The sequence below is a fragment of the Homo sapiens genome, chromosome 13 (genome assembly GCF_000001405.40).
Source record: "Homo sapiens chromosome 13, GRCh38.p14 Primary Assembly".
NCBI classification, from domain to species: Eukaryota; Metazoa; Chordata; class Mammalia; order Primates; family Hominidae; genus Homo; species Homo sapiens.
The window spans coordinates 48,216,341-48,225,562 of record NC_000013.11 but is presented as its reverse complement, the minus strand read 5'-3'; the positions used below and the strand labels follow the sequence as shown (position 1 = coordinate 48,225,562).

The 9,222-nt window shown below is 41.3% G+C and overlaps 1 long non-coding RNA gene across 4 annotated transcripts in view; it reads left to right on the top strand.

Moving 5' to 3' along the window:
* The first annotated feature begins 3,253 nt into the window (after positions 1 to 3,253).
* LOC105370198 (uncharacterized) overlaps positions 3,254 to 9,222 on the top strand; it is a 114,265-nt gene continuing 108,296 nt past the window's right edge. For 3 of the 4 annotated variants that reach the window (XR_007063792.1, XR_007063791.1, XR_007063789.1), the window contains exon 1: positions 3,254 to 5,164. This is a non-coding gene — a long non-coding RNA (uncharacterized LOC105370198). Of the gene's footprint in view, positions 5,165 to 5,415; positions 5,493 to 9,222 lie in introns of all 4 variants that reach the window. The other variant, XR_007063793.1, reaches the window with a different exon arrangement.

Sequence of the window (9,222 nt, the reverse complement as noted above, 5' to 3'; positions counted from 1 at the left end):
GAAACTCAAATTTCTGAAAACCATAAATTTGAAGTCTCATCTTCTCAGACTTAATAGCCAGAAGACTTTGCCTTGTGTTCAAACAATGTTCTAGCTAATAGAATCAAAGAACTGGAAAAAAAAAAAAAGGCTTTAAGATGACTTCTGATAGTTCTTTTTCTGCCTAGTCCAAGGATAGATTGCAACCCAGTCTAATGGGAAGATCATGCTTATTTAGACAGACTTCGTTTGTTTTTTTTTTTTGAGCCACAACAAAATTACTTTTCTTATGATCATTTAACAAATATACTGAAAAAATCAAGGAAAACTTGAACTATTTTTATCTCCAGAAGAGCTGTGGTCAATGGCAGCTATAGGTGGTCAGACACTAAAGTGATCTTTCCAATTTGAAACCCCAAGACACATTGCATCTGGCAATAGTTATTAAGCAAGAAAAACATTCATAAAGCAACATAATTAATGGGATTGAAACAGTAAGAGCTTTATCCCACATTTAGTCTTCCTGGCTTCTGGGTGGTATGCAACCTAGCCATAGATACTGTTGAGACTGTTTTCTATTAACTCTGGGATCATTTCCTAGTCCAACATGATAGACTATGCCTAGTTAAACCCATCCCCCATATTCCCAGCCCTTAGTAGACACATAGACCGGGAAAGGCCTTACAATGAGTTATTGACAAACCCTTAGAAGTGAGTGGCACAGTGAGTCTGTGTTGTCCAGACTCCTTGAATCATTACCTAGGGAATGCGGGGGTATTGCTTGTACTTGAAAGGTACGTATCTCAAACTTGGTGAAAACTGCAAGATCTTTGGGTTGATGCAATGAATTTGTTCTCCTGGGTTCTGCCCCAATACTTCCTGTTTTAAAATTTCTAAAGATTTGTTTTGATGTTGAAGAAGAGACTATTAAACAAATGTGTCCCCTTAGTGAAGTGATAGCTGTAAAGCAAATTGGGAGGTTATAACTAAAGGAGCTCCAGGTGGGATGAAAGTATATGAAATGAACTGTGCTGGGTGACCCATGCCTGGAACCAAATGAGGCCTGAAAGAAGTATGTTTGAGACCCCTCCCATTATGGATGGCTTCCTACAGCACACTTCAATACAAAGGGGATTATTTTATTCCCAAATCTGCCTGGGTTCCAGGCTAATTTAACCTACTTGTGAAAGAATATGAGAAATGCATGGGCCGGGAGCGGTGGCTCATGCCTGTAATCCCAGCACTTTTTTGGGAGGCCGAGATGGGTGGATCACAAGGTCAGGAGTTGTAAACCAGCCTAGCCAATATGGTGAAACCCCGTCTCTACTAAAAATACAAAAATTAGCTGGGCACGGTGGCGCACACCTGTAGTCAAAGCTACTTGGGAGGCTGAGAAAGGAGAATCGCTTGAACCCGGGAGGCGGAGGTTGCAGTGAGCTGAGATTGCGCCACTGCACTCCAGCCTGGTTGACAGAGCGAGACTCCATCTCAAAAAAAAAAAAAAAAAAAAAAGAGAAATGCAAACAAGTCCACCAAAACAAGAGAAATCTACTTGGATTTTTACTTTGTTTGTTTGTTTTAGATGGAGTCTTGCTCTTGTTGCCAAGGCTGGACTCAGTGGCACGAACTCAGCTCACTGCAACCTCTGCCTCCTGGGTTCAAGTGATTCTCCTGCCTCAGCCTCCCAAATAGTTGGGACTACAGGTGTGCACCACCACGCCCGGCTAATTTTTTGTATTTTCAGTAGAGACAGGGTTTCGCCATGTTGGTCAGGCTGGTCTTGAACTCCTGACCTCAGGTAATCCACCCACCTTGGCCTCCCAAAGTGCTGGGAAGATTTTTACTTTGAATCTGGTATAATCAACTTCCTTGTGCTTGGAATTATTGAATTACAGTGAGAACATATAACCAAGATAAATTCGTACTTTGAGTCAGAAAGCATCTAAAAAGACTGTTTCTGTATAATCTTTCATCTGCTTTTCCTCTGGCTTATTTTCAGAAAAGGGAGGAAAGGTTTGATTTATTAAAATTCCAGAGAACAAAGATACAAATATTTACATAAAAACTCCTTTTTGAATTTTTAAAGTTTTCCTTAGAGGAGGTTTTAGATAAAAATAAGCACAGTGTCAAGATATACCTTTGGAAGGCCAAGGGAAATTCAGCATGTTAAGTATACTATATTATACATAATATAGTATATTATATAAATATAGTATATTTATATGTAGAGAGAAACATGGAAGTTTCTCCTTGGGATACTTGGGTTTGGTTGATTGCACAGCATAAAAGCCCTGTAAATTCCATCTTAGAGAAAGTGCATGACCTAAAGCAGAAATAGCATGTTTAACTGCCATTTGCTTTAAGAGACCACACACAGAGGGGAAAAAAAATTATAAAAGAGAATCTGATCAGATGCTAAAAGATATACTAAGGAAGTAGTCTGCTTTTGGTTTCACCAGTGAAAATAGCTAAGGAATAGAAAATAGTCAGTACCTCCCTTCCCTTTCTAAACGCTCAGGGGGCCATTTTTTAGGCATAGAAGGATTAGAGGAATGAACACAATAAGACATTCCCTAAGAGAATAAAATTACATGGAACTGCAAATAAACCTCTACTCAACAGAAAAGAAACAAAAATCGCTAGTGTTTCAAGAAATACCCATACAGTCAGAAACTTCTTCAAGTAGTCTAGTCTCAGTTAAAGTCCAGTGAGTCACTAAATGAGGGGAATAATACCTCAGTGTAGCTATGCACTGTTAGTATTTGTCCCACTTGACTCTTTTAATGCCTTTGTCTTTAGTACTATGGGTCATACTATTGAGGGAGCCTGCTGTTTCATGTATATCTTAACTAGTTTTTCCTTTTTTTTGGCTTGATCCATTTTTAAACTTTGATATTCGTCTCTTTCTGAAAGTGAAACTACGTTTTGCAAGGAAAAAGGATACTCTTGGAGGCATAGTAAAACATTGCGTTATAGTCATTACTAAGAAATTGCACAACTATCATTCTGAGATACCAGCGCTAGTTTTGTTGTTTTTTGTTTTGAGGCTGATGGAGCCTTACTCTATTGCCCAGGCTGGAGTATGGTGACGCAATCTCGGCTCACTGCAACCTCCGCCTCCCGGGTTCAAGTGGTTCTCCTGCCTCAGCCTCCTGAGTAGCTGGGATCACAGGCACTTAACACCACGCCTGGCTAATTTCTATATTTTTAGCAGAGACGGGGTTTCACTATGTTGGCCAGGCTCAGACTCCTGACCTCAGGTGATCCGCCCACCTCTGCCTCCCAAAGTGCTGGGATTACAGGCGTGAGCCACCATGCCGGGCCCCCAGCGTTAGTTTTATGAAGAATTGGACTGTGTATAACAGAAACAAACACATACATACTGCAAACTTGGAGTCTTAATGGTATTTAATCAAAAGCAATTCAATTCACTGTTTAAAAACCTTTGCCACATTACCTATTCACTTTATAAAAATCACGTTCATCATCATGGAGATGAAAAAGGTTCCTTGTTAATGGCGAGTAAGTGGGTGGCTGCAGAAGACTGTGCAAAGATACAGACATAAAGGAAGAGAGAAATTGGGCAGAGAGGGCGTGGGGTATGGGAAGTAGAAGAAAGGACACATGTCATTAAGAACAAGTCGTTCTGTGAAACAGGAATTTGAACTAATAAATCCTGTTGTCTAATGGAATGCACCCAAGAAGAAAATAAACAGCTCAGTTGGTTGAAGACAGATTTCTAAGAAGTTTTTCTTATTGAGTACCCAAGGGAAAGCCAGTATTTCAGAAGCTCTGGTGTCCATGGTCAAATGGTATTTTCAAACAACTGTGGAGAGAAGTCAAGATGCATACACTTGGAGTCATTAAATAATGAGGAAGACAAGGTGGTGAGAAATCATTGCTAAACTGCAGTTCACCCCGTGCCTGCCAACAGATACAGAGCAGACAAGCTTGTGTTCCTGAGGTTACGCTGCTCTCATTTAGAGCACCACTAAGCCAAATGAAGAATATTACTTATATATAGCAGACTCTTCCTCAGGGAGGAACCCGAGGAAAGTCACAAAAAAAGTAGAGGAAGCCGAAAGAGTGTTTTTAGTCTCACACATCCTGTACTTTTTTTTCAGCTGCTATTTTGAAAGATAAACATTACATTTGTGGTTGAGTCGTCTTCCAGGTTAGAGAAAACAAAACAATATGGTTGTGAAAAGAAGAGGCCTGTGATGGAGCTAATGACCTTGGAAAGGCAGACTGCTTTCCTGGTTTTCAAAACAAAACAAACCAAAACAAACCATTTTTAAAAAGTGGTTGAACAACGGTAAAGCCCTTGCATCTATCTCCAGTGCCCCTAGGCCCCCAGCTGGTTCTAGAGTGACCTAGACACAAAGATGCTCTGTCCAGTGTGAGCAGAGGAATGGCATGCCGTCCCTGTATAGCCAATTCCACCTTCAGCTTTCATTCGATTGGCATTTTGTAGGCAGGAAGTTGTGTTCAACTCAGGTTTTATTGAAACTAGGGCATTTCTATATTCTTCTTAATTTGAAAATGAAAGCAAATTTTATTTAGGAAGCTAGTGGAGTTTTCTTGTGGGTTTGAAGGCAATCTCACTTTACCAATGGGTCAATTCCATAGATCCTTTTGTTTCCTATTAGATACCAAAAGTGGCTCCTACTTACTATATCCAAAACCCTGCTGTCATCACACAGGGCACCGCTAAAGCCTATAGTCAGCTGAGAGATCAGAGAATTTGAGAGGAAGAAACCAACCTATATGGCATTAGTAGAGCAGTGGGTGGAAATGCCTGCTGGTCTAGATATTATTGGGCCTCCTTGAGAAATTACTCAATATGACTGATAACATGTGTTGAAAGGTGTTGCAGAGTGGCTTCCTTTATACAGTCTACAGTGGAATTGACTTGTAATGGTGCCATTAGGTCGGAATTGGAAGACAGATAGGGATCCAGAAGACCCCAGATGCATGATTCTTAAACCTCCCAATAATAAAATATATTGTTGATTGGCATTGTGTTAGGATTCCTATGGCTGCTCTAACAAATTATCACAAATTTTGTGGCTTAAAACAACTGAAATTTATTCTCTCACAGTTCTGGAGGCAAGAAGTCCTAAATCAGTGTCACCAGGCAGAAATCAAGGTACTGGCAGAGCTGTCCTCCCTCCAGATGCTCCAGGTGAGAATCTGTTCTCTGCCTTTTCCAGTTTCTGACATTCTTTGGTTTGTGGCTTTATCACTTCATTCACTCCATCTTCAAATTTTTCTCTGCTCCTTCACATCATCCTCTCTCTCTCAATCTCTCTCTCTCTCTCTCTCTGTGTCTGTGTGTGTGTGTGTGTGTGTGTGAGAGAGAGAGAGAGAAAGAGAGAGAGAGAGAGATCTCCCTCTCCTTCTCTCTTATAAGGACATTTATAATGACATTTACAGCTCACTGGATAATCCTGGATAATCTCCCCATGTCAAGATTCTTAATCACATCTGCAAAGACCCTTCTTCTATGTAAGGTAATGTTTATAGTTTCTGGGGATTAGAACCTTATATCTTTGGGATCATCATTCAGCCTACTATAGGCATGCACTCTGTTCTCTCTCACATACATAGTAACACTCGATATATATACTAGGAGTCATCACTGGACGACTTGGAGAACACTAACTAATAAGTGCTTATTTTGAGCACCTGCTCTGTGCTGAGCTCTGTCCAAGTTGCAGCAACAAAACAAAGGAAGTGTGAAACACAACCTCTGCCTTGAAGTAAAAGACAAATATGGTTGGAAGAAAAGACTCATACACAAGTGACATAAATAGAAACTCTACAAAACAGAAGATAGTCATATAGTATAGATTATAAATGCTATGAGTTCAAATAAAGGAGATCTTTATTTAAAAAGAATAGAAAATATTAGCAATTTTAAAGCCTGCAGTTTTTCAGAGACAATCTACATTTTTCACTATTTGGGGAGTTCCATATAAAATTACTTGTAACACCTACAAGGCACAAGTGAATAAAAAACTGGATGATTAAATAACCTTAGTGGTATTATTGACTTTTGCAAAAGCTTGAAGCAGTATCTTATATCCAACTGGTCATCTTTGTTATTAATTATAATTGGATGTTGATGATACTCTGTATTGAAGAACAAATTGGTTTGTAGAAGATGAATTTCTTTCTTTTTTTTTTTTTGAGACAGGGTCTCACTCTGTTGCCCAGGCTGGAGTGCTGTGGTGCTATCACAGCTCACTGAAGCCATGACCTCCCAGCCTCAGGTGATCCTCCCCGCTCAGCCTCATGAGTAGCTGGGACTACAGGCACATGCCACCATGCCCAGCTAATTTTTTGTAATTTTCTTTGTAGCGACGGGGTTTTGCCATGTTGCCCAGGCTGGTCTTGAGCTCCTGGGCTCAATCTATCCACCCACCTTGGCCTCCTAAAGCGATAGGCTTAAAGGTGCAAACCACCACGCCCAGCCGGAATCAGAACTATCGATAAAATGGGGCATATTACCAGAAACAAGATGTATATGCTTGAAAGTGTTCAGTGGGCATTGTGGTGGATGTTCAAACACTCATTCCAGTCCAATTATATTGCCACGTATTTGTTTCTGTATTGGGTACCTACAAGGAGGAGATAGTCCCTTCTTCCTCTAGACTTTGCCATATCTGGATATGATGCTTGGGATTACTTAGCCACTTTGCTACCAATATTTGCAAATCTAAGAGCTGGATAGAACTTGGTGTATGATGGCATTACTGAAAGGATATATTGAGCAACTGCAGATTTTGCCCTGTTCAGACCTCTTATTAACTGAGTTAAGACAATTCCTTCTTCTTTAAATCAGTCTTTATTTGGTTTCCTAATATTGTACTACACAGAATCTTAACTGATACAAAGTATAAAAATAAAGAAACCGTATATGTCTTAATGCAATTTTAAAAAGAGAAAGCAACAAAATACAGAATTTATATGAAAATATGTAACTGCTAGGAATGGTTAACTCTTAAATGGGATTTATTTGGTATTTATTATAGGTTGGACATTGGACTAAATTCTTTATATATACTAACTAATTTAATCTTTACAGTACTTCTAATTAGGTGGTTACCATTATCATCCCCATTTAGGAGATGACAAAGTATCTGCTGTTAATTTGCTAGTAATTGGCAGAGCCAGGATTAGACCCCAGGCAGTCAAATTCTAGACTCTAATTCCAGGCACTGTAATTCCAGTGCTCTAATGCATTATGCTAGACTGCCTCTTGCTTCTTTATTCCTCTCTGATTTTTTTTTTAAGTGGCTATTGGGCCAGGTGCTATGGCTCATGCCTGTAATCCCAGCACTTTGGGAGGCTGAGGTGGGTGGATCATGACGTCACAAGTTCGAGACCAGCCTGGCCAATATGGTGAAACCCTGTCTCTACCAAAGATACAAAAATTAGCTGAGCATGATGGCGCTTGCCTGTAGTCCCAGCTACTTGGGAGGCTGAGGCAAAAGAGTTGCTTGAACCCGGGAGGCAGAGGTTGCAGTGAGCCAAGATCATGCCACTGCACTCCAGCCTGGGCAACAGAGTGAGATTCCATCTTAAAAAAAAAAAAGTGGCTATTTCAAATAATTAAACAAATATATGTCAACATCCCAAATTGCACTCAATAGGTGGTTAAAACACATATATATGCTGTATCAGTTATCTATTGCTGAGTGTACTAATCTGTTCTCACACTGCTAATAAAGACACACCTGAGACTAGGTAATTTATAATGGAAAGTGGTTTAATTGACTCACAGCTCAGTATGGCTGAGGAGGCCTCAGGAAACTTACAATCATGGCAGAAGGGGAAGCAAACACATCCTTCTTCACATGGTGGCAGGAAAGAGAAGTGTCAAGCAAAAGGGGAAAAGCCTCTCATAAAACCACCAGATCTCATGAGAACTCACTCGCTATCACAAGAACAGCATGGAGGTAACTGCCCCCATGATTCAATTACCTCCCACTGGGTCCCTCCTATGACACATGAGGATTATGGGAACCACAATTCAAGGTGAGATTTGGGTGGGGACACAGCCAAACCATATAATTCCATCCCTGCCCAAATCTCATTTCCAAACATTTCAAAACATAATCATACCTTTCCAACAGTCCCCCAAACTCTCAACTTATTCCAGCATTGACGCAAAGGTACATGTCCAAGGTCTCATCTGAGACAAGGCAAGTCCCTTCTTCCTATCAGCCTGGAAAATCAAAAGCAAGTTATTTATTTTCTAGATACAACGGGGGTACAGGCATTGGGCAAATACACCCACTCCAAATGGGAGAAATTCACCAAAACAAAGGGCCCAACAGACCCCATGCAAGTCCAAAATCCAATAGGATTTAAACCTTATAATGTTCCTTTAGCCCTGCCAAATGCTGTGTTCAAAATTTTTAATTCTTTTTGAGATTTTTAAGTTAGCATTTTTTTTACATTGTGACTGCATTTTTCCCGCTTCACAGCTGAGTTCCTATTTGTATTGTCTCATGTATAAAAGTGTCATTAAAACTTAACCAGTCATTAAACCTTAAAGTTCCAAAATGATCTTCTTTGACTCCATGTCTCACATCCAGGTCACACTGATGCAAGAGGTGGGCTCCCATGGCCTTGAGCAACTTCTCCCCTGTGGCTTTGCAGGGTACGGCCCCCGACCTGGCTGCTTTCACAGGCTGGCATTGAATGTCTGCAGCTTTTCCAGGTGCATGGTGCAAGCTGTCGGTGGATCTACCATTCTTGGGTCTAGAGGACAGTGGCCCTCTTCTCACAGCTCCACTGGCCAGTGCCCCAGTCGGGACTCTATGTGGGGGCTCTGACCCCACATTTCCCTTCTGCACTGCCCTAGCAGAAGTTCCCCATGAGGGCTCTGTCCCTGCAGCAAAGTTCTGCCTGGATATCCAGGCATTTCCGTACATCCTCTGAAATCTAGGCAGAGGTTCTCAAACCTCAATTCTTGACTTCTGTGCCCCTGCAGGCTCAACACCACCTGGAAGCTGCCAAGGCTTGGGACTTGCAACCTCTGAAGCAACACCCTGAGCTGTACCTTGGTCCCTTTTAGCCCCAGCTGGAGTGGCTGGGATGCAGGGCACCAAGTCCTGAGGCTGCACACAGCAGGGAGGCCCTGGATGGGCCCAGGAAACCATTTTTCCCTCCTAGGCCTCTGAGGCTGTGATGGGAGGGGCTGCCATGAAGGTCTCTGACACGCCCTGGAGG